Source organism: Homo sapiens, chromosome 15, assembly GCF_000001405.40.
Source record: "Homo sapiens chromosome 15, GRCh38.p14 Primary Assembly".
Lineage (NCBI taxonomy): Eukaryota > Metazoa > Chordata > Mammalia > Primates > Hominidae > Homo > Homo sapiens.
The window spans coordinates 44,563,442-44,588,405 of NC_000015.10; the positions used below are offsets into that span (position 1 = coordinate 44,563,442).

Sequence of the window (24,964 nt, forward strand, 5' to 3'; positions counted from 1 at the left end):
GATTCTTGTGCCTCAGCCTCCCGAGTAGGTGGGATTACATGAGTGTGTCACCACCCTGGCTAATTTTTCTAATTTTAGTAGAGACAGCGTTCTGCTATGTTGGCTAGGCTGGTGTTGAACTCCGGGCCTCAAGTTACCTGCCTGCCTTGGCCTCCCAAAGTGCTGGGATTACAGGCGTGAGTCACTGTGGCTGCCCTTTTTTTTCTCTCTTAAATAAAAGATGGAGGTCTCACTGTGTTGCCCAGGCTGGAGTACAGTGGTTTTTCAGAGTGTGAACTCCTGGGCTCAGCTGCTTCTCTTGCAGCCTCCCGAGTAACTAGGACTACAAGTGTGCACCACTGTGCCCACCTTAGGATACTGTATTTTGAGTGAGGGCTGTCAGCTCTGAAGTACCACTTACTATTACCTATAGAGGAGAGGGTGCTGGAGTCTGGGTTATCTCAGACTAGTATTAGGGGTGCTTGATAAAATATTTCTTTAAAAATGAGTATGTTAATGCTTACCTTATAGAGTAAGTTTAGTACTCCAAAAGGCACCTCTGATGTTTTAGTGTTTTTCGTTTCTTTTTTTGAGACAAGAGTCACACTCTGTTGCCAGGCTGGAGTATAGTGGCACGATCTCAGCTTACTGCAGCCTCTGTCCCCAGGTTCAAGTGATTCTCCTGCCTCAGCCTCCCGAGTAGCTGGGACTACAGGTGCCAGCTACCACACCCAGCTAATTTTTGTATTTTTAGTAGAGACAGGGTTTCACCATGTTGGCAAGGCTGGTCTCAAACTCCTGACCTCAAGTGATCCTCCCGCCTCGGCCTCCCATAGTGCTGGGATTACAGGCATGAGCCACTGGGCCTGGCCAGTGTTTTAGGTTTTTGGCACTGAGTAGCTATCCTCCCATTTTAAAGTACAAAGCACTATGAGCAAACTGTTCTTGTTGATCTCTTTGCATAAATCTGTTAAAAGACTTCCTTCTAAGGATTCTTGATACTGCTTTGCCATTTTAAGTAGAGGTAATCTAAAGGCATGGTGTACTTAGCCATAAAATTCTTACACTTGTCTCACCTCAAAGCAGAGGCAAGGAGCAATGTTTACAGTCAACTTTTAATACTTACTTTTTGGAAATCTCTTCAAATATACTGGACTTTAATAACCTTTGCTGCTTAAATTCTTCCAAGTAATTAAAGTCTCCTTTAAGAATCACTTGCTGGTATAAAATTTCAGCCCAATCTGGAACAAAATCGTAGGCCTCAGCCACAATAGAAGCCTTAAAAGGAGAGGTGAAGAAGGACACCATCAGAGCCCATCTGATGTAAAATCAAAAACAAACTGTTGTAGAAAACAATACTGTATACTCACTCATGTAGTGAATATGATCATTACCAATTATGTTAAAAGGCTCTATGTATCAGAGGTGGTGAAAAGTCAGGTGTGTGTTTGGCATTTTCCCTCTCATAAATCCCCAAATTATCTTAAACCCTTTTTTAAAAAAGACAGGGTCTCACTATGTTGCCCAGGCTGGACCAGAAATTCCTGGGCTCAAGATCCTCCCGCCTCAGCCTCCTGCATATCTGGGACTACAGGTATATGCCACCATGCCTAGCTTCTTTCAGTGTTTTTAATCTTCCTCACAATGAATTGAAACTGCTAAGAATATATTATTCCCATTAGCAGTATGAGGAACAGTGAAAGGGCTGATTCCCTGATAATCCACTTCTTTAAAGGGCTAGAACCAATCTCCCTGACTTGCTGTACTAACCTGAGTGTGCCATTCTGTAACTGCTGGGGCTAGGAGGTTCTTGCAGGACCACCAGCAAGAGTATTACTCTGAACCTCAACTGTCTTAAGGCAGTGGTCCCCAACCTTTTTGGCATCAGTGACAGGTTCCCTGGAGGACAATTTTTCCACAGACTGGGAGGGGATGGTTTCGGGATGAAAATGTTCCACCTCAGATCATCAGGCATTAGATTTTCATAAGAAGCCCTTGCATGTGCAGTTCACAACAGGGTTCATGCTCCTATAAAAATATAGTCCTGTCACTGATCTGACAGGAGATGGTGTGCAGGCAGTAATGCTTGCTTGCCCAGTGCTCACTTGCTGTGCGGCCTGGTTCCTAGCAGGCCATGGGCCAGTACCAGTCTGCAGCCTGGGGTTAAAGGGCCAAAGGTGTCTGCCTCTCTGCTGGCCTAACAGCACAGGAAAGGGAGACAGCACTGTCTTACCATTCTCTAACCTCTGCCCAACAATATACTAGAGAGAAATACATCAAATTGCCGTTCTATGTTGGTATCAGAGAGTTAAATCAGAACTGTACTGTCCTGGTTCTGTCACTAGCCCTGAGACCTTACCTCTGGGTTCCATGAGTGGGACAGAAGGAGAGAGGATGCTAGCAGTGCTGGCTACAGTTTGCTTTCTTGCTCACCTGGTAGAACCGAGGTAGGGCCAGAATACAGTCCATCAGCTTGTGGCGGCCCAAGTTGATGAGCATTGTGTTCTGGCCAGTGTTCAGAAAGTGAATCTGCAGAGTTATCAACTTGGTGAGCCGCTGACAGTGCTGGGCCTGTCGCACACAGGAGTCCTGAGGAACAAGGGTGGAGAGGCACAGTAGAGAAAGACCTAGTTGTCACCTCCTGTGTGAACCCTCACAACGGTATTCACCCCTTCTGTTCCTGGTTGGCCTATGATGCCCTCCCGCTTCACCTGGAAAGAGCCCAAGGACAAAAGAAAATAATTTTACTGCAGACAGCAAGTCCCAAGGCCAGTCTGAAAAAAGCCTTTGGGTTACCTTGGCATAACTCTCTGCTGCATCCAACATCAGAGTCAGGGCCTTCAGCAGCAGTTGTTTCAGCTGGTGCCCATCCTTGAGGCTGTCCTCTGTAGGGGAAATAAAGAAGATTTGCCGAGTCTGACTCCCAAAGCTCACTGTTCTCATCCCACTCATTGTGATCGTGGCTAGAATAGAAACATCCCAGCCATGTTCACAGGCAGGCAGGAACACCTCACTCAGATAAAGGTTATTGGGCCAGAAATGCATACGCTTATTGTAACTTCACTCCGCAGTAGGATTCAGTGCCCCTTCTAATGCCTCATTTCTCCAAAACATCAAGGAAGGCTTACATGGTATCAACGTGCATGTTGGTTCCTGGTGGATGATACCCTGGATATATAGGCTATAGATCCAAGAGTACAATCCTAAATTGCACATGCCTTCAAAGTCTCCATTCCATCTGTCTGCCCAAGTGGGGGTCCTGCTGAGCGACATACCCACCTCAACATTCTTTTTTTGAGATGGAGTCACACTCTGTCACCTACGCTGGAGTGCAATGGGCGCGATCTTGGCTCACTGCAACCTCCGCCTCCCGGGTTCAAGTGATCCACCTGCTTCAGCCTCCCAAGTAGTTGGGATTACAGGTGCATGCCGCCACACCTGGCTATTTTTTTTTTGTATTTTAGTAGAGACAGGATTGCACCATGTTGCCCAGGCTGGTGTTGAACTCCTGAGCTCAGGCAATCCACCTACCTTGGCCTCCCAAAGTGCTAGGATTACAGGCATGAGCCACTGTGCCGGGCCACCTACCTCAAGATTCTAATAGCCCATCTCATGGGCTCTTGTCCTTTGCTGTAAGAATTTTATCGAGGGCCGGGCATGGTGGCTCACACCTGTAATCCCAGCACTTTGGGAGGCCAACGTGGGCAGTTCACCAGGTCAGGAGTTCAAGACCAGCCTGGCCAACATAGTCAAACCCCATCTCTATTAAAAATACAAAAAATTAGCCGGGTGTGGTGGCAGGTGCTTGTAATCCCAGCTACTTGGGAGGCTGAGGCGGGAGAATCACTTGAACCTGGGAGGCGGAGGTTGCAGGGAGCTGAGATCGTGCCACTGCACTCCAGCCTGGGGACAGAGCGAGACTCTGTCTCAAAAAAAAAAAAAAAAAAGGAATTTTACCTAGCTAGCAGCACTGTTCTGGTAGTGTGGCTGTGACCTCACTCACCCCAGGGCTGAGACTCAATCAATTTCAGTTGGATGCGGGCAGCTGCCTCGTGGTTCTCGCCAATCTCCCGGCACATGCTGAAGCACAGGGCAATCATATTGTGCTTTTCACTGTCTCCAGGACGGCAGCGTTTGATGTAGTCCAGCAGGGCTGTTTTCAGGGTACCACTCTGCCCAGAATAAAAGGGAAAAAGCAAGGTGTCAGTCAGGGACTGCAAGGCAGACAGGACTAGCTGAGTCACCTTGTTCTGCATTCCTTAAAAACTCCCAAGAAGAAGAGGAGCAAAAATGAGAATAAATACAAGTTTTATGCTGTCCCAAGTATGAGGAAACAGGCATGTGTGCTTTCCTGTTGGAAGTGTGAAAGGCAAAACTTTTTCTAAAGGGAGAAACCTTAAAAATACACCCGCATAAGCTGATCTAACAATTCCATTTCTAGGAATCTGTCCCTAAAGAGATAAGCAGAGAAAAGTGCTAAGATGAATGTAACAGGGATATTTAATAGCAAACAATGAGAAACAATCCAGATGTCCAAAATAAGGGGAAGAGAATACCATGTAGCCATTAAAACTTATGTAGGAGGATGATTTGTTGATTTGGGAAATAGTCATGATATACTTTGTTAAGTGAGAAAAGCAGGATATTTCATCTCTTCACTGTATAAGTTTTATTAAAATAATTATATATAGATGTTTTCAGGTACATGTGCAAAGAAGGCCTATACCAAATTGTTAGTGACTGTCTCCAGATGGATAGACACTGAGGGCTTTTTCTGTGTTGTTCTGTTTTCCAAGTGTCTTACCTGGAATATGCATTACTTTTGTAATCAGGAAAAAGTTATTAAAATATTTAAATGCAGAAGGAAAACTGCCTCAAAAACAGTTTTAAAAACCCTTGGGGGATCTTGAAGATGCACCTATGTCCAGGACTTGCTCCTCACTTGATGACTAGATTGGTCTGTCCTGAAATTGGCCCAATATTAAAGAGAGATTTTTTTCTGCTTTCTCTCTTAATCCTGCCTGGCTGGGCCCATGTTCCCAGAAGCCAAAGGTGAAATGAGCAGAAGCAATGAATCATCCAAATGTTCTGGAAACAGGTACTGTGAGGAGTATGCTCGGTGTCACAGAGGACACTGAGGACACACGGGCTTGCAGAGCCCAAGACTTAAACAAGTCAGGCCTTTGCTTCCAAGCCGCCTTCCTGTTCATCATCATAAATGGCTCCACAGCTTTTTGGTCTAAACTTTTGTGTTTGATTCCCAACCTGGCTCTTAGCAGCACAATTTTTCACAGTCTCCTGAAAACTCTCCACTCTAAAAGCCCTCAAACAACCTCAGAGCTAGACAATCCACTTTCAGCCTGGCTCAGGGTTTTTGCCCCTGCCAGAGAAGGCATTTAAGACAGTAGAGGCAGGAGACAGAGGCTGAGGTGGAGGAGGACAAACTTATTTTCTTCAGTATTTAGCATCGGCTGGGCACGGTGGCTCATGCCTGTAATCCCAGCATTTTGGGAGGCTGAGATGGGTGGATCACCTGAGGTCGGGAGTTCAAGACTAGCCTGACCAACATGGATAAACCCCATCTCTACTAAAAACAAAAATTAGCCGGGCGTGGTGGTGCATGCCTGTAATCCCAGCTACTTGGGAGGCTGAGACAGGAGAATCACTTGAACCTGGGGGGCGGATGTTGCGCCGAGATCACGCCATTTGCACTCCAGCCTGAGAAACGAGCGAAACTCCGTCTCAAAAAAAAAAAAAAGAAAAAGAAAAAAAAAATATATGGCATCAGCATATTCACGGACTGATCTGAACCAGAATCTGAAGCCACTGGTGACAGTGTATGTCTTGGGGAGGTCCCTAATTCCTTCCCTCCATTTTCCCAAGAGTCTACCCTGACTGAGATTATTCCTGAGAAAAGCTGAGGCTCCTGAATTATCAGCAGTACACCCCATCCTGGAGCTCATTACTTTGCACCTACCGGATCCAACTTCTTCCTCATTAGCACTTCAAAGTAGTGCTTTTTATGCAGCAAATCAAATATGTATGTCATCTCGTTGTACCTTCCAATGCCAGTGAGGAGCCGTACCTGTGAAGTGGGAGGACAGCTCGCATCAGCATCACCTGGAGTCTGGAGTTCTCTGAGCCAGACAACTACCATCAGTGGTTGCTTTCAGATGCCAAGCTCCAGGAGGAGAAGGGCTAATTTCCAGGCTACCATGCTTAGCTCCCTCCCATGTACCCAACAGGGGGCCTCTGGAGGATTCAGAAATGTCAGTCACTGGGCCACCACTGGCTGTTCTTTTTTTTTTTTTTTTGAGATGGAGTCTTGCTCTGTCACCCAGGCTGGAGTGTAGTGGCACGACCTCGGCTCACTGCAACCTCCGCCTCCCGGGTTCAAGCAATTCTCCTGCCTCAGCCTCCCAAGTAGCTGGGATTATAGGCATGTGCCACCATGCCTGGCTAATTTTTGTAGAGACAGGGTTTCACCATGTTAGTCAGGGTGGTCTCCAACTCCTGACCTCAGGCAATCCGCCTGCCTCGGCCTCCCAAAGTGCTGGGATTACAGGCGTGAGCCACCATGAACGGCTTTGCTGTCCTTAAATGTGACTCTCAAGTGCTAAAGTGCCATTCTCCTGGGCAGGCACTCTTCCTCTTTTCACCACTACTCATGACAGTGGCCCAGTAGCTTGCTCAGCCACTCAGGTCAGTTTCAAGCCCAGAGAATTTAGGGAGGCACATGGGAACTGAGTTGCCGACTTACTTCAATTCAGAGATGGGGGGAAGGTCCAAACCTTGTTTTGGGGAAAAATGCAGCTGTCTTAGCCCTCTATCTAGAAAAGTTAACTGCCCTGACTAGGGGGTGGGATGGCCCTGGAACCTGGGAGGGATCTTCTCCCTTTCGCTCCTTTGGAGCAACCTCTGATTCTGACAGAAATGATAACTTGGAGCAGAGGGTTGGGCTGCCCAGCCAACTCTCAAGTAGGTAGTGGTATCCAGATGGGCAGAACCCCCTACGACTACATCAGCTCTGGGCTGGCTCCCACCCTTTCTACTACTCTCAAAGGTTTCCACAGGATGGAGACTGGGGTTGAGGGGGCTACTTACCACCAGCCCATACTCCTCACTGGGGGCCAGGTGGTTATCTGTGAGCATGTGGGCGGCCTGTAGGACTCGGATGATGCCCTCCATGTGGCACGTCAGGGTGAAGCAATGATGGGCCAGGATCAGGAGCTCTGTGGCTGGGAGGGTGGGCACTGGTAAGATAAGATTATGAACCCTGGCTGCCCACTGTCAACCTCTGCCTGGCAGGAGGGAAAAAGGGCCTGGTGGAGAAGGGGCCTGTCTGGAGAGGGCCGTCCCATCAGCCCTCCGAAGTCCCTGAACTTAGCAGCTGTAGCTTTGAGACAGCCCCTTGATGACATCCAAATCATTCTCTCAGTCATGGCACAATCCTCAAAGACAATCATGTAGTGACTGTTTCCCCAAAAGGCCCCCAAAATGAGAACACAGCACCCTCGCCTTCTAAACATGGAGAAACTTTCTGCAGACAAACTGATGGAGTTCCTGCCAACATGAATCCAAGGGCATTCTCTGCTTGTATCCCAGCAAAAGGTCTCAGGGCCTAATCAAGTGCCATTTGGTGTTCTGGCTTTCTAGAGTAGTGAAAGTCTGACATGTACAGATTTAAAAATACTACAATCACTGTAAGCACAATGAAAAGGCAAACTGGGAAAAACACCTGCAATGTGAGGACTGAAGAAGGTTCTCCATCCTTAAAACATGCTGTAGCCTCTGGGCTTTTGCATCTGCAGGGCCCTCTCCAGTCCTACTGACTCCTAAGCATCCCTGACAATGAATCCTTCAGGCCTTCGTTTGGACATTTCGTCCAGAACTCTATCTTGACCCCATCATTCTGGCTCTTACTGTGTATTAAGACCCTAGTCTGAGCTCCAGGAATTGCTTATACACCATATCCTAGATGCTTATAGTGTCTGGCACAAAGTTGGCACTCAGTAAATACTGTTGAACTGGACCGAGAAGAGATAGAGAAGGCTATTTTTATTTAAATTTCTTTTCTTTTTTTTTTTTTTTTTTTGAGATGGAGGCTTGCTCTGTTGCCCAGGCTGGAGTGCAGCGGCGCCATCTCCACTCACTGCGAGCTCCACCTCCCGGGTTCAGGCCATTCTCCTGCTTCAGCCTCCCGAGTAGCTGGGACTACAGGCACCTGCAACCATGCCCGGCTAATTTTTTGTATTTTTAGTAGAGACGGGGTTTCACCGTGTTAGCCAGGATGATCTCGATCTCCTGACCTCATGATCCACCCGCCTCGGCCTCCCAAAGTGCTGGGATTACAGGCTTGAGCCACTGCGCCTGGCCTTAAATTTCTTTTAGAGATGGATCTTACTCTGTTGCCCAGACTAGAGTTCAGTGTTGCAATCACAGCTCATTGCAATCTCCAACTCCTGGGCTCAAGGGATCCTCCCACCTCAGCCTCTCAAGTAGCTGGGACTACAGGTGTGCACCACCATGCCCCGCTAAGTTTTTAAAAATATTTTTAGAGACAGGGTCTCACTATGTTGCCCAGATTGGTCTCAGACTCCTAGTCTCTAATTATCCTCTGCCCTCGGCCTCTCAAAAGCATTGGGATTACAGGCGTGGGCCACTGTTCCCCATTCTAATATACAGTTTTTCATTATATATAAGAAATCTGTGTAACCATTAGAAGTTATATAGAAGAATATTCAATGCCATGAAAAATGTTAATGACAGCATATTCATAAAGTAAAAAAATTATAAACTATACAGAGTATAATGTCATTTTTTAAAAAAGAGAACTTATCACACATTCTAATGAAGGCCTATAATGAGTTAGACATTATGGAAAATAAACAGGCTTTGAATCCATGGACTGGGTTCAAATACCAGCTCTGCCACTTAACAGATGTAATCAGCTTTCCTAAGGTAAAGTTTGTCTCCCTTCTAGGGGACAATAACGTTCTCTTTGCAGGGCAATATAAGAGTGAAATAAGTATGTTGAGTAAAGGTTACCTTTTTGTATGATTTTAAATTTGGGGGTACTCATCCATAATTTCTAAATTTTCTTCAGTGAAGTTAAGGCTTTCTACCAAGAACTTATAACTCCTGCTGGAGGGCTAGGCATCCAGAGCAGGAACAGGGACCCAAATCAAGTTTTGGAGAGACTGGGAGACCTTTTGAGACCTGTTTAGGGCCAAAATATGTAAGAAAAAGGTCAATAACTTACTGCAAGACAGTTCCCCATGGGGAACGGAGGAAATCTTATCCAACAACTTCATGCCTACCAATGTGCGGTCTTGACACAGAGTGGTCAGCTGAAGAAATGTCTGGCTTTCCTCTGTTGGGTTGAACATCTGCTTATGTCCTGTACAGAGAGGTGTGAAGACAGGTGCTGGTTTTATCTAAGAGAGGCCCACTCTGCCCAGGCTTAGGCACCAGGAGGTAATGCTTATGGAGCTCTGCAGCTCTCCGCTTGCTGAGCTTGAAACCCTTGGCCTATTGGTCATTTTATAGGACAGGAGTTCTTTTTTTTTTTTTTTTTTTTTTTTGAGATGGAGTCTTGCTCTGTCATCCAGGCTGGAGTGCAGTGGGGTGATCTTGGCTCACTGCAACCTCAGCCTCCCAGGTTCAAACGATTCTCCTGCCTCAGCCTCCTGAGTAGCTGGGACTACAGGTGCCCGCCAACACGCCCGGCTACTTTTTTGTATTTTTAGTAGAGGCGGGTTTCACTGTGTTAGCCAGGATGGTCTCTATCTCCTGACCTCGTGATCTGCCAGCCTTGGCCTCCCAAAGTGCTGGGATTACAGGCGTGAGCCACCGCGCCCGGCCAGGACAGTTCTTTAGCTCAGAAAGCCACAGCTACTCCCAGTGTAATCATAAAACAATAAAAAGCAACAGCATGTATTTTGTACATGTATTTTGTAAAAAATAAAGCATGTATTTTGTTTTATTTAAACAAAATACATTACTGCAATCCAGAAACTTGAGAGAACCACATACAGGATGTATATAAGCACAACATCCAAATCCTTAACACTGGGAACTAGAGAATGCTGTCAGAGAGGTTGGGAATCCCCGGGGGGTAGGGCACCTGTTCCCTGTGATGAAGTAAGCAGCTCCCGTGTCACCTCTTCTGCCACGAGTTCAGCCACAGTATCTGGCTTAAGGCCCTGTGTGCTGATGAAGGCCTGGGCTCGTTTGCATCGGTCAGGCTGCTGAGAGGCCAAGATTTTCCGGAGCATGGCTTCACCATCCTGAGCAGCAACATCTGTGTAGGAACAGCCCAACTCCTGAGAGGAAGACAAAGCCAGTCAAGGCCACTTTTAGAAGCCAGGAAAAAGCAAAAGAGCCCTTTCTGAAATCTGATGTGGACAGACTCCACTGTATTCTGAGCTTACAGACTCCTCACCCTCAGCAGGAACCTTAGAAAAAGCAAGTACTGTTTTCTAACCCTTTCTATCATTTCACCAAAGCCAAATCCAGGTAAAAGAAAGGCTTGTATTCAGAAAGCATCAGGTTATTCTCTTGTTGGACACTTATTTTTTTGGCGGCAGGGTTGGGAGGGGTGGCAGAGTTTCACTCTTGTTGCCCAGGCTGAAGTGCAATGGCACAATCTTGGCTCACCACAACCGCTGCCTACTGGGTTCAAGCAATTCTCCTGCCTCAGCCTCTCGAGCAGCTGGGGTTACAGGCATGTGCCACCACACCCAGCTAATTTTAGTATTTTTGGTAGAGATGGGGTTTCTCCATGTTGGTCAGGCTGGTCTCAAACTCCTGCCCTCAAGTAATCCACCCGCCTCGGCCTCCCGAATTGCTGGGATTATAGGCATGAGCCACCATGCCCAGCCTGATTTTTAAAAATATTATGAAATGTAAGAACACCGACTAAAATACGAGAGCCTTTATTATTCCCAGAGCAGCAGCAAAACCCTCAATTTCCAAAGAAGTCTTTGAGTCTTCTCCAAGACGAGGGCTTTAGGGTTTGGCTTTATTTCTCTTGTGCTCTTCTACTTCCAGTCTACTGTTTTTCTCCCCCAAGCAGCGCAAAGGTACAGACGATTTCTGCTTCCTCTGGCTCTTGTCTTTATAGTCATCACATTCCATATGGAATGCTCCACACAATCATAATGCAAAACCCAAGATATTAAGTCTAGAAGAGACCCTCATGGTCAAATCATCATTTATAGATGACGAAACAGGGGCCCACAGCCCTAGCTTTCTGGTTTGCTGAGCTGCAGCCAGGAGTCAGATCGCCCTGGCACCTGGCCTGGTGTCCTCCCCACCATTCCCCAAAGATAAAATTATGAGGGCCAACATCCTGATAAGAGCTCTACTCCCAGGTCATGATTATCATCTAAAAGGCTGACTTGGCAATGTCCAAAATCAACCTCAAACTTCTCATTTCCCTCCCTCTCAGAAAGAGGAGCCCCACCCCTTGGCACATACCTTGGCAAGATCATACAGACAGAGGACCTGTCGACAGTAGTTCTTCCCATGGAGGCATTTGCTTGTCAGCACTTCCAGGTTAGTTACCACTTCATTACTGGAGGGCACTGTCACAAACTTCTGACTATCCAGACTTGAAGCTGGAAGCAAATACAAGTCTGAGGGGCTCTAAGCTGGGAGGTTCTGGCCTCTCCCTAGCTCTCTATGGCTCTACCTCTCTGCTTGAAGCTCCCTGCACTGCACTCCCATTACTCTGACTGGGGATAGGACCACTGCTGACAGGGCCCCACCTCAACTTCTTTCATTGCCCTCTTCCAGGAAATCCCACCCTGGGATACTTCAAAGACCTCATATGCTACAAAGATCAAGGCCACCTAATGAGTGCTCTAGAGATCAGCACCAAAGATGCTTGCCAGAGTCTTCTCTATATGTCCTCCCTCCTGTATCAAATAAGTCACCAAGTATAGCTGACTATCTCCATAACATCTCTCCAGTTGTGGCCTTAGTTCCAGCCTTCATCACTCTGCATTCTGAGGAGCTGTTATCTGTCTCCTGCTGCCAGCCCCTCACCCCCAGTCGGTCTCCAACATACTTTTTTTTTTTTTTTTTTTGAGATGGAGTCTTGCTCTGTCACCCAGGCTGGAGTGCAGTGGTGCGATCTCAGCTCACTGCAACCTCTGCCTCCAGGGCTCAATAGATTCTCGTGCCTCAGCCTCTCGAGTAGCTGGGATTACAGGCGTGCACCACCACACCTGGCTAATTTTTGCATTTTTAGTTGAGATGAAGTTTTGCCATGTTGATCAGGCTGGTCTCAAACTCCTGGCCTCAACTGATGCATTTGCCTCGACTTCCAAAAGTGCTGGGATTACAGGCATGGGCCACTGCACCCACCTGCAAATATGCTTTAATTTATAGTAAAATTAAAATCTATTCCTGATTTTTTTTAAAACGAAGCTCTTGGACGGGTGCGGTGGCTCACGCCTATAATCCCAGCACTTTGGGAGGCTGAGGCGGGCGGATCACTTGAGGTCAGGAGTTCGAGACCAGCCTGACCAACATGGAGAAACCCTGTTTCTACTAAAAATTTAAAGTTAGCTGGGTGTGGTGGCGCATGCCTGTAATCCCAGCTACTCAGGAGGCTGAGGCAGGAGAATTGCTTGAACCCGGGAGGCGGAGGTTGCGGTGAGCCGAGATTGTGCCATTGCACTCCAGCCTGGGCAACAAGAATGAAACTCCATCTCAAAAAAAAAAAAAAAAAAAAAAAAAGCTCTTAGCTTAAAATAGGAGAAGATATTAATTTGATAAAGGGTTTCTATTAGGAAAAAAAAGTAAGGAATATTTATATCACACTTTGTAATGGCAAAAACAAAACAGAAAAATTTAAATGTATATCAATAAAGCATTATTCAAGCTTAGTACATCTGTACAGTGGAATACTCTGCAGCCATTAGAAAGAAGGGGGTCAGGCCAGGTGTGGTGGCTCATGCCTGTAACCCCAGCACTTTGGGAGGCTGAGGTGGGCGGATCACAAGGTCAGGAGATCGAGACCATCCTGGCTAACACGGTGAAACCCCGTCTCTACTAAAACTACAAAAAAATTAGCTGGACGTGGTGGCGGGTGCCTGTAGTCCCAGCTACTTGGGAGGCTGAGGCAGGAGAATGGCGTGAACCCGGGAGGTGGAGCTTGCAGTGAGTGGAGATTGCGCCACTGCACTCCAGCCTGGGCGACAGAGCGAGACTCTGTCTCAAAAAAAAAAGAGAAAGAAGGGGGTCTATCTATATGTACTGAGAGGACAAAAATGTAGATCAATATGATGTAATCTCATTTTTTGTAAAAAATAAATATTGTGTTGCTTACAAGTAGAAAATGCATACCAAGCAAGTAAAAGATAGTTATTCTGGGGAATTTTGTGGGAGTAGTGTTGAATTGGCTTTTTTTGTGTGTGATGAAGTCTCACTCTGTCGCCCAGGCTAGAGTGCAGTGGCACCATCTCGGTTCACTGCAACCTCTGCCTCCTGAGTTCAAGCGATTCTCCTGCCTCAGACTCCAGTGTAGCTGGGATTACGGGTGTGCACCACCACGCCCAGCTAATTTTTTGTATTTTTAGTAGATATGAAGTTTCACCATGTTGGCCAGGCTGGTCTTGAACTCCTGACCTCAGGTGATCTGCCCACCTTGGCCTCCCAAAGTGCTGGGATTACAGGCATGAGCCACTGTGCCCAGTCTGAACTGACTTTTTACTTTATGCGTTTCTATGTTATGTGATTTGCTACACTAAGCACAATTTTTATTTTAAAATATTATTAAAAAGTGCTGTAGGCCAGAGGTGGTGGCTCATGCCTGTAATCCCATCATTTTGGAAGGCTAAGGTGGGAGGATCCCTGGAGCCTAGGAGTTTGAGGCCAGCCTGGGCAACACAGTGAGCCCCCACTGCTACAAAAAATTTAAAAATTAGCTGGGGATGGTAGTGTGCACCTGTAGTTCCAGCTACTTAGGAGGCTGAGGCAGGAGGACTGCTTGAGCCCTGGAGGTTGAGTCTGCAGTGAGCCATGTTTGCACCACTGCACTCCAGCCTGGGCAACAGAGTGAGGCCCTATCTCAAAAAAAAAAAAAAAAACAAAACAAAAACTCTTAAAGATAAAAAAATAAAATAAAATAAAATGCAACTCAGACCATGCTATTCCCCTGCTTAAATCCTTCACTGAGAGTTCCAATTCTAGGTAAGTTGGTTATAATAAGCTCAATCTACTGTGTCTTTCCCACTGAATTCAATACAAAACCTGGACATAATACATGTGGCATACAAGGACTCTGGAAAAGTAAAAAGTAGCAGGCAAACTGAAGATGACCAGAATTATCATTATCCCCCCTCTAGCAAGCTCTGGCCTGAATGCAGCGCTGACTAAAACCTAAGAACTAAGGGCTGAGGTGAAGTGTGAGTGCGAGAGTGTGTGAATTCCAGAAGCTCTCTAGTACCAGTTTGAAGAGTGGAAAGGGGAACTCCTAATTCCTGTTCTTCCTTGTCCTGGCTCCCAAGCAAGCCACTGGCAGTGGTGGGAGAGGCTGCAGTGACAGCAGGCAAGAGCTAAGGCTCTCAGAAAGGGGAGCCTTCTTTCCTTTTTTTTTTTTTTTTTTTTTTTGAGACGGAGTCTCGCTCTGTCGCCCAGGCTGGAGTGCATTGGCGTGATCTCGGCTCACTACAAGCTCCACCTCCCGGGTTCACACCATTCTCCTGCCTCAGCCTCCCGAGGAGCTGGGACTATAGGCGCCCGCCACCACGCGTGGCTATTTTTTTTTTTTTTTTTGTATTTTTAGTAGAGATGGGGTTTCACTGTGTTAGCCAGGATGGTCTTGATCTGACCTCATGATCCGCCCACCTCGGCCTCCCAAAGTGCTGGGATTACAGGCGTGAGCCACCGCGCCTGGCCAGAGGAGCCTCCTTTTCTGAGCAGGGGCGCTCTGGTCTCAGGAGGGCGGAGTAGACCCCTGTTGCTTTTGCATTACCCTCCTGTCACCTGGCCCTGGGTGTAGGAATAGTCAGGGTAGTGCAAGACAGAGTGGGGGTAACTAAACCTTCAGCTTTTGGCCAAATAACTGAAAAGAGAAGCCTCAGGGGGAAAAACTAGCTGGGAGAGCCCCAGGAAAGCAACCCAATACATTTTTATGAACTACAGGGCTCACTCCTGGACTACACATGTATGGCCTTGATCCTAAGTAGCACAGATCACTACCAAGGTCACAGATTGACCACTAGGTGGCGTGCACACACAGGACAGATCTGAATACTACCGCAAAGGAAAATGAACTAATGTTAAAACCACAATGCACAGGCAGTGGTTTGGAACTTCAGCTTGAACCTAACCAGGTCAACTGTCTGCTAAAAAATATCAACATCCTTCATAGGATTTAAATAAGATCCACAGTCTCAAATAGTGTATTTTAATAATACACTATTCAAAATGTCCAGATGCAGCCAGTTGTGGCGGCTCATGCCTGTAATCCCAACACTTTGGGAGGCCAAGGTGGGTGGATCACCTGAGGTCAGGAGTTCGAGACCAGCCTGGCCAACATGGCGAAACCCTGTCTCTACTAAAAATACAAAATAATTAGCCAGGTGTGGTGGTGCACACCTGTAATCCCAGCTACTCGGGAGGCTGAGACATGAGAATCTCTTGAACCTGGGAGGCCGAGGTTGCAGTGAGCTGAGATTGCACCACTGCACTCCAGCCTGGGTGACAGAGTGAGACTCCATCTCGAAAAACAAAAACAAGAAAACAAAAAAACCCAAAATGTCCAGATGCAACCCCAGATTACTCAGCATAAGAAAAAGCAGGAAGAGGGGCTGGGCGTGGTGGCTCACGCCTGTAATCTCAGCACTTTGGGAGGCCGAGGTGGGTGGATCACCTGCAGTCAGGCGTTTGAGAGCAGCCTGGCCAACATGGCAAAACCCCATCTCTACTAAAAATACACAAACACACAAAAATAGCTGGGCGTGGTGGCGCCAGTCCCAGCTACTCGGGAGGCTGAGACAGGAGAATTGCTTGAACCCAGGAGGCAGAGGCTGCAGTGAGCCGAGGTCACACCACTGCACTCTAGCATGGGCGATAGAGTGAGACTCCGTCTCAAAAAAAAAAAAAAAAAAAAAAAGAAAAAGCAGGAAGATTTCAACTCACACGAGAAAAGATGAGATGCTAGCTAGCATTAAAATGATGCAAATGTTAAAATCATCTGACAAAGAATTTAAAGCAGCTATAATACAAATGTTCCAATAAGCAATTCTGAATGGTCTTGAGACAAACAGAAAAATGGAAAGTCTCAGCAAAGAAACAGATATGAAGAATAAAATGAAAATTTTAGAACTGAAAAATGCAGTTACGTGCTGTATAACCATGTTTCCATCAACAACGGACTGCATATACAGTGAGGATCCTGTAAGATTATAATAGAGCTGAAAAATTCCTATCACCTAGTGACATCATAGTCATTGTGACATAGCACAATTACTTAATTTTTAAATAAATTTAGTGTAGCCTAAATGTACAGCATTTATAAAGTCTACAGTAATGTAATGTCCTAAGTTTTCACATTTACTTACCACTTAGTGACAACCAGAGCAACTTCTAGTCCTGCAAGCTCCATTAACGTTAAGAGCCCTTTACAAATTGTACCATTTAAAAAAATTTTTTAAATGAAAATCTCCAATTGTTTATTTCCTGAAGCTAAAAAATCTTTATATCATATTTTTTACTGTACCTTTTCTATGTTTAGATATGTCTAGATACACAAATACTTACCATTGTGTTATAATCAACTACAGTACAGTAGCATGCTGTACTGGCTTGTAGCCCAGGATCGGTAGGCTATATATCATGTAGTATAGGTGTGTAGAAGTCTATACCACCTAGGTTTGTATAAGTGTGCTCTAAGATGTTTACACAGTGATGAAATCACCCAACAATGCATTTCTCAGAATGTAACCTCATTGTTAACGCATGGCTGTAACTGAAATTTTAAAATCATAGAAATAAAATTCAGTAACAGAAATTATCCAATCTGAACAACAGAGAGAAAAAAAGTTTAAAAAAAACTGAACTGGCCAGGCACAGAGGCTCACGCCTGTAATCCCAGCACTTTGGGAGGCCGACGCGGGCAGATCACGAGGTCAAGAGATCGAGGCCATCCTGGCCAACATGGTGAAACCTTGTCTGTACTAAAAATACAAAATACAAAATACAAAAATTAGCTGGGTGTGGTGATGCACGCCTGTAGTCCCAGCTACTTGGGAGGCTGAAGCAGGACAATCACTTGAACCTGGGAGGCAGAGGTTGCAGTAAGCCGAGATTGCGCCACTGCACTCCAGCCTGGTGACAAAGCGAGACTCCGTCTCAAAAACAAACAAACAAAAACTGAACAAAACTTCAAGGACTTAAGAGATAATAACAAAAATTATATATTCATGTACTTGAAGTTCCAGAAAGAGAGGAGGTAGGGTATGGTGCTGAGAAAATATTTGACAAAATTATGGCTGATCAGTACCCAAGTGTGGTGAAACACATAAACCTACATATTCAAGAAGCTCAGTAAACCCCAAATAGAATAAAGCCAAAGAAATACATATCCAGTCACAATATAATCAAACTGCTGAAGACCAACAACAGAAAAAAAAACATCGAGAGCAACCAGAGAAATAGGCACTGTTTATATAGATGAACAATGATTCAACTGACTGCAGATTTTTCATCAGACACCATGGAGGCGAAAAGGAAGTGAACAACATTTTCAAGCACTGAAAGAAAATAACTAATTTTCTTATTTATTTTTTGAGACAGGTTCTTACTTTGTTGCCCAGGCTGGAGTGCAGTGGCATGAACATGGCTCACTGCAGCCTTATCCTCCTGGGCTCAAGCGATCCTCGTGCCTTAGCCCCTCAAGTAGCTGGGACTACAGGCATGTGCCAACACACCTGGCTAATTTTTGTATTTTTTGTAGTGACGGGGTTTTGCCATGTTGCCCAGGCTGGTCTTGAACTCCTGAGCTCAACTGATCTGCCTGCCTCAGCCTCCCAAAGTGCTGGAATTACAGGTGTGAGCCACTGCACCTGGCCTGAAAATAACTAATTTTCTATATCCAGCAAAACATCCTTTAGGAATGAAAGTAAAATAGAGACATTCTCAGATGATGAAAAACTGATTATTAAAAAAAAAAAAAAGGCTGGGCGTGGTGGCTCACGCCTGTAATCCCAGCACTTTGGGAGGCCAAGGCGGGTTTATTAAAATATATTTTTTGGCTAAGAGCAAAAACCTCATTGTTTAATGAGGTTTTCAATGTATGCAGAAGTAATAAAAGACAAGTAGGATGTAAAGGGAGAAGAATAAAGTGACCTAAAATGGTGGTAAGATTCCTCCTACATTCCAGCTGAGGTGGTAAAATATTGATTCTAAGTATACTGTGGAAAGTTAAGGATGTACACTGTCATCTCTAAAAAAATAAAATTAAACTATACAAAGATGCAGAGTCAAAATCACAATAAATTAAAATGGAAGACTAAAAAATGTTCAAATAACCCAAAAAGCAGAAGAAAAAGTTTCCCTTGAAAATCACAAAATGCTAAAACTCACCCAAGATAAGAAAGATAACCTGAATAGTCCTGTAATTGTTTAAGAAATTGAATTTGTGGTTTAAAATCTTCCAAAATGGAAATCTCCAGTCTCAGATAGTTTTACTGGTAAATTCTACTAAGCATTTAAGGAAGAAATAACACCAGTTCTACACAATGTTTTCCAGAAAATAAAAGAGGAGGGAGTACTTTCTAACTCATGAAACCAACATTACCTTGATACAAAAACCAAACAGTATAAAAAAAGGCCGGGCACGGTGGCTCAAGCCGGTAATCACAGCACTTTGGGAGACCAAGATGGGCGGATCACTTGAGGTAAGGAGTTCAAGACCAGCCTGGCCAATATAGTGGAACCCCATCTCTACTAAAAATACAAAAAGTAGCCAAGCGTGGTGGTACACGCCTGTAATCCCAGCTATTCGGGAGGCTGAGGCAGGCGAATCACTTGAACCTGAAAGGCAGAGGTTGCAGTGATCTGAGGTTGTGCCACCACACTCTGGCCTGGGCGACAGAGGGAGACTCCATCTCAAAAACAAAAACAGTACAATAAAGAAAATTACAGAATAACATTCCTCATGAACATACATGTAAAAATCTTTAACAAAACAGCAAATTGATTCCAGCAAAAAATCAAAAAGAATAACGCACCAGGCCCAAATTGGATTTATGTAAATGGGGAATTCAAGGCTGGTCCAATATTAAAAAATCAACTAATGTAATCTACTATATTAATAGTCTAACGAAAAAAAAAACCACATGATCAGATTAACAGATACAGCAATAACATGACAAAATTCAAACTGATTTATGATAAAAATTCTCAGCAAACCAGGAACAGAAGGGAACTTTTTCAACATGATAAAGCCTGTCTTCAAAAACCTACAGCTAATACCATACTTAAATGATGAAAGATCAAATAATTTCCCTTTAAGGTCAGTAAAAAGGTACAGATGTCCACTCTCGCCACCCCTATCCAACACAGTACTGAAAGGCCTAGTCAGTGCAATAAAGCAAGAACAAGAAATAAAAGGCATACAGATTGGAAAGGCAGAAATACAACTCTATTTGCAGATGACATGAATGTCTATGTAGAAAATCTTGAGGAATCTACAAGAAATCTCCTAGAATAAGCAAGTTTAACAAAGTCATATAAAGGTAACATAAAAAACAGATTTCTGGCCGGGTGCGGTGGCTCACGCCCTATAATCTCGGCACTTTGGGAGGCCGAGGTGGACGAATCGCCTGAGGTCAGGAGTTCGAGACCAGCCTGGCCAACATGGTGAAACCCGGTCTCTACTAATACAAAAATTAGCCAGTAATCCCAGCTACTTGGGAAGCTAAGGCAGGAGAATCACTTGAACCTGGGAGGCGGAGGTTGCAGTGAGCTGAGACCACACCATTGCACTCCAGCCTGGGCGACAAGAATGAAACACCATCTCAAAAAACAAAAAACAAAAAACCAAAAAGAAAAACAAAAAGCCATATTTCTATATACTATCAATGTAAGACTGGAAATGATTAAATTTACAGATGTATAGAATATGTAGAATAAATTTCAGTGAACTAGCTACAAATCAGATAGATTCCCTTTAACTTTGAAACATAGCTAGTTTAAAAGACATAGATCTTTCTATTTCATTGCCTAGTTAATTGGCTAGTCTACAGATTACCTGGAAAAAAGTTGTTGTCCCCTTAACTTGGTAGAACTATTCTGCCACAAGGGTCCCTTCCTTCTTGGAGACAGTGCTAACAGTGCCATTTAAGACTCTGGGCCATCTGATCTCCTTCACTTACTGCTGTGGACTCTCCTTAGGGGAATGTCGGGTGCTTCTTCCTCAAGCAGCTCAGCACTTTGTAGGAGAGCATGGATCTCTGGGTGCAGATCCTCCATACTAGCTTCCCCTGAGGCCAGTGCTCTGCAGTGCAATACCAAGGCGACATCTGGATTATAAAAATGAAAATACCGGCATACTCTACTTGCTTCATGCACACAGCCATCATCCAGTAGGCGCCCAATCAAAAAGTTTAGTGACTCCTGCTCTTTCCAATCCAATCTATTCTCGCATGTCTCTTTGGATGGAAGGCTGTTAAGTTCTAAGTATTTTGATGTGTTCAGAGCAGCCAACTTGGAGAAGGAAAACTCACTGGCTAAACTATCAAAGGAAAGTTCACCACTAGTTGAGATCTGTCGAGAAAATCTGGGCTCTGTTTCCTCCTGATTTCTTCCAAGAGTGTGCTGGGTGATGCGGCACAGCCAGATCTGCTTCTCCAGCTCCTCCAGCTTATCCAAGGGCACCACGTCCTCCTGGGCAAGCCAGTGCCCTGCCAAGGTGAGCAGCAGATGGCGCTCCTCCATGCTGCTCCATCCAGTTGGGTGCTCACATGCCACATGGGCCTGGGTTGAGAAAAAGGAAGAAGCTGCTTTGCTTGAAATTGAATTTTTCTTAAAATTCTCATGGCATTTTTTCCAGAAGTCAATTCTTGCTTGTTTTAGTGACCACTGTTCAATGTGTTTTAGGGTCTGCATTTCCTGTGTTATCTGTGAAATTTAACAAAGCAGATTTTAGCCTTTCTTGGATAAAAAAGTATCATAAATGCTAATGTTCCCTAAGTATATCATACTTGTTTGGACAGGGTCTCAGTCTGTCACCCAGGCTGGAGAGCAGTGGTGGCGATCACAGCACACTGCAGCCTCAACCTGCTGGACCCAAGAGATCCTCCCACCTCAGCCTCCCAGGTAGCTGGGACCACAGGTGTGTGCCATCATGCCTGGCTAATTTTTAATTTTTTGTAGAGACAGGGTCTCCCTATGTTGCCCAGGCTGGTCTTAAACTCCTGGGCTCAAGCAATCCTCCTGCCTTGCCCTCCCAAAGTGCTGGGATTATAGGCATGAGCCACTGCACCTGGCCTTATCATACTTGTTAAAACCAAATCAAATCAGAGAACAGAGATTTGGCTACAGATGACCCTAGATATTTTATCTGGAAAGTTATGGTATGAAAAACAATTCTTGATTGATCTCATGGAATGGGGTTTAAGTGGAAGCCCCCTTATATTTAATTCTATTCAAAGGAAAATAGTTGTAGCATATCCTACAAACTAATGTTACATTTGCAGCACACATTTCTCAATCATGGGAATTGTAGGCTCATCCATTTCTGAAAGTAATGTGTGTGTCAAAAGTAAAAAAAAAAGTCTTATCTCCTATAAATTATACATCTCATTTGATTTACTGTTTAATGCTGATTTTAAAAGCTAAGATTTTAAATAACTTAAAAAGACCAATGAGGCTGGGCGTGGTGGCTCACGCCTGTAATCCCAGCACTTTGGGAGGCAGAGGCGGGCGGATCACAAGGTCAGATCAAGACCATCCTGGCTAACACAGTGAAACCCCATCTCTACTAAAAATACAAAAAAAAAAAAAAAAAAAAATTCAGCCGGGCATGGTGGTGGGCACCTGTAGTCCCAGCTACTCGGGAGGCTGAGGCAGGAGAATTGCATGAACCCGAGAGGCGGAGCTTGCAGCGAGCGGAGATCGCGCCACTGCACTCCAGCCTGGGTGACAGAGCAAGACCCCGTATCTAAAAAAAAAAAAAAAAAAAAAGACCGATGATACCTCTTTAATAACCAAGTTGTCCACAGGTAACTCAGCTAATTCTGCTACCCTCCTGGCCAAAGCGAATTGTCCATCTGTCTGCAGTCTTTCCAAAATAGATCTACATTCATGCTGAAGATTCTCAATGCTGTAGCTGGTAATAATTGTATGATTAATGGCTATGGATGTATCCTTCAAAATCTGGCAAAGGATGCAAAGCTTTTTCACATCTGGACCTGTGCCAAAGAGAAAAGGATATAAACATTTAGTCAATAAAATGCCACTACAGCATTTCAAGAGTAATACATATCAGGGGGAAAATATACGTGTTTAACATAGTAATGTGGTTAAAGGAAAAATAAAAAGCTGTTTTTTTTTTTTTTTTTTTTTGAGATGGAGTCTCACTGTCACCTAGGCTGGAATGCAGTGGTGTGATCTCCGCTCGCTGCAACCTGCACCTCCTGGGTTCAAGGGATCCTCCTGCCTCGGCCTCCTGAGTAGTGGGGACTACAGGTGTACACCACCACACCTGGCTAATTTTTGTACTTTTAGTAGAGATGGGATTTCACCATGTTGTCCAGGCTGCTCTCGACCGTGCCCGGACAAAAAAAACTATTTTTCTACTCTGGTTGACTAGCAGAGGAAGCCATAAGGTAGCTGTATACCAAAAAAAATGGTCCTGCAAAATTGTTAGTGGTAAAGTCTGACTGAACTTGCTTGTCATATAGTAAGAGGTGTTACAGATTAATGGCTAGGCGTAGTGGCTCACGCCTGTAATCCCAGCAGTTTGGGAGGCCGAGGTGGGTGGATCACTTGAGGTCAGGAAAGACCAGCCTGGCCAATATGGTGAAACCCCGTCTCTACTAAAAATACAAAAATTAGCCAGGCGTGTGGTGGCACACGCCTGTAATCCCAGCTACTCGAGAGGCTGAGGCAGGATAATCACTTGAACCTGGGAGGCGGAGGTTGAAGTGAGCCGAGATGGTGCCATTGTACTCCAGCCTGGGCAATAGAGTGAGACTCTGTCTCAAAAAGAAAAAAAAAACTGTTAGAGATTAGCACATGAACTCAATCTACACATCTGGCTTTATATACAGGGCAGAGGTTGGTGGCCTTCAATGTAGTAGAAACACAGTAGGAAGATTTTAGTCATTCAGACTGGTCTCTCTCTTTCTGGATTTATCTCCTACCTTGATCAAATTTGTCTGATTTAGTGGTCATTTGTTCATTCAATGCAGGAATCATGTGGATCAAGACAGAGAACTTGTAGGACAGTTAAATCTCCAGCTGGCCAATAGCCTAGGCTCTAATGTGGCACACTGTATTCAGAATGAAGCATCACTTGCACCTCTAAAATTTATCTACTTAACCCAGGGAGACCTAACTGAGCTCCTCCTGATGTCCCTTGGAAAGTATTAGTAACACTAAGAATTCTTGGCCAGGTGCAGTGGCTCACGCCTATATTCCCAGAACTTTGGGAGACCAAGGCAAGAGGGATCGCTTGAGGCCAGGAGTTCAAGACCAGCCTGTGCAACATGGCAAGACCTTTCTCTCTATTAAACAAAAACAAAGAATTCTCTGCCAACAATTTATGTGGCTGAGTTTGCTCCCTTTCCCAAACAGTCTAAGTAGAGTCTATGTGTGTCCTACCATAAGAGAGGGGCATGAGAAACATTCCACAGGAGGTTATTTCCAGTGCCACCTGCTGGGCAGCAGTCTGATTCAGGTAGTTCTGGGGACAGTAAGACACCCTGCACAATCATATAAAACACGTTTTTACAGAACATATTCCTGGCTGGGCACAGTGGTTCATGCTTGTAATCCCAGCACCATGGGAGGCCAAGGCGGGAGGAGTGCTTGAGCTCAGGAGCTTGGGACTAGCTGGGCAACGTGGCAAAACCCTATTTCTAATAAAAGATACAAAAATTAGCCAGGTGTGGTGGTGTGTGCCTGTAATTCCAGCTATTCAGGAGGTTGAGGTGGGAGAATCACTTGAGCCTGGGAGGCAGAGGTTGCAGTTGCAGTGAGCTGAGAACGTGCCACTGCACTCCAGCTTGGGCAACAGAGCCAGACTGTCTCAAAAAAAAAAAAAAAAAAAAAAAAAAACGTATTCCTGTTCTCTAAGCAAATAAATGTTAAATACGCACACATAGTAACACAATTTCTAAAAATATAAAAAATTATAGAATAAAACTATTATAGTCATGTTTAACAATGTAGTCAATTCTTATAATTATTCAAAGATAGATTATGGCAAACAACAGGAAATTCATTTTTGAAAAAAATTATTACTACAGATCAATGAAAACACCTATATGTTAAAAGGACTTATCATTTGGTCTGCACAGTAACTGGTAAGTGCCATCTTATATCCACTACATTTTGGAAACACCTCTTTTTCCTTTTAGTCATCAGATCCACAGCCTGCAACAACTGGCTCTGAGCTCAGGATTCTGTCAGTGTTCTGTGCAAATCTGAGCTCTCCAGCTGAACATCTGTGAGTTTAAATGTGAGAAAATAACCCTAGTAGCCAAACTGTCAGAATATAGTATAAAAGAACAACATTATCATTCAATAAAAAACTTGAAATTATCAAACAAGTGGAAAAGATAGTAAGGCAATATTTGTTTGAGTCAATCAGCAACAAGTTTAGAGACTGCCAACATCTTGAGGAATCTGCAAAAAAAAAAACAAACAAAAAAACAAGCACAATTTTCTCTGAAACTTTAAAAATGAATTGTGCATTTCTGAAATAGGGTTTGTGACCCTGAGCAATGCTAAGGTTACTTGC

General features: G+C 44.7%; 1 protein-coding gene across 6 annotated transcripts in view, besides 3 other annotated features; it reads right to left on the reverse strand.

The window, feature by feature from the left end:
• The window catches only part of SPG11 (SPG11 vesicle trafficking associated, spatacsin), a 100,967-nt gene that overhangs the window by 746 nt on the left and 75,257 nt on the right, over window positions 1-24,964 (reverse strand). For 3 of the 6 annotated variants that reach the window (NM_025137.4, XM_047433144.1, XM_047433146.1), the window contains 11 exons: window positions 22,195-22,409; window positions 20,373-21,117; window positions 11,461-11,600; window positions 10,106-10,304; window positions 9,242-9,379; window positions 7,084-7,217; window positions 5,957-6,064; window positions 3,983-4,151; window positions 2,776-2,864; window positions 2,413-2,568; window positions 1,106-1,257 (listed from right to left, as the gene is read on the reverse strand). In NM_025137.4, coding sequence (NP_079413.3) covers window positions 1,106-1,257; window positions 2,413-2,568; window positions 2,776-2,864; window positions 3,983-4,151; window positions 5,957-6,064; window positions 7,084-7,217; window positions 9,242-9,379; window positions 10,106-10,304; window positions 11,461-11,600; window positions 20,373-21,117; window positions 22,195-22,409 — 2,245 coding nt within the window. Of the gene's footprint in view, window positions 1-1,105; window positions 1,258-2,412; window positions 2,569-2,775; window positions 2,865-3,982; window positions 4,152-5,956; window positions 6,065-7,083; window positions 7,218-9,241; window positions 9,380-10,105; window positions 10,305-11,460; window positions 11,601-20,372; window positions 21,118-22,194; window positions 22,410-24,964 lie in introns of those variants that run through there. The other 3 variants (NM_001411132.1, NM_001160227.2, XM_006720701.4) reach the window with 3 other exon arrangements.
• Window positions 18,965-19,136: a silencer, noted in NCBI's record as "fragment chr15:44874604-44874775 (GRCh37/hg19 assembly coordinates)". NCBI's record gives its function as "represses an EF-1alpha promoter that drives an FKBP-Casp9 reporter gene in an ReSE screen in HepG2 liver carcinoma cells {active_cell/tissue: HepG2}" and the evidence as "EXISTENCE:reporter gene assay evidence [ECO:0000049][PMID:32094911]".
• Window positions 20,954-21,003: a silencer, noted in NCBI's record as "silent region_6398". NCBI's record gives its function as "represses an Ori minimal core promoter by ATAC-STARR-seq in GM12878 lymphoblastoid cells {active_cell/tissue: GM12878}" and the evidence as "EXISTENCE:reporter gene assay evidence [ECO:0000049][PMID:35858748]".
• Window positions 24,154-24,365: a silencer, noted in NCBI's record as "fragment chr15:44879793-44880004 (GRCh37/hg19 assembly coordinates)". NCBI's record gives its function as "represses an EF-1alpha promoter that drives an FKBP-Casp9 reporter gene in an ReSE screen in K562 erythroleukemia cells {active_cell/tissue: K562}" and the evidence as "EXISTENCE:reporter gene assay evidence [ECO:0000049][PMID:32094911]".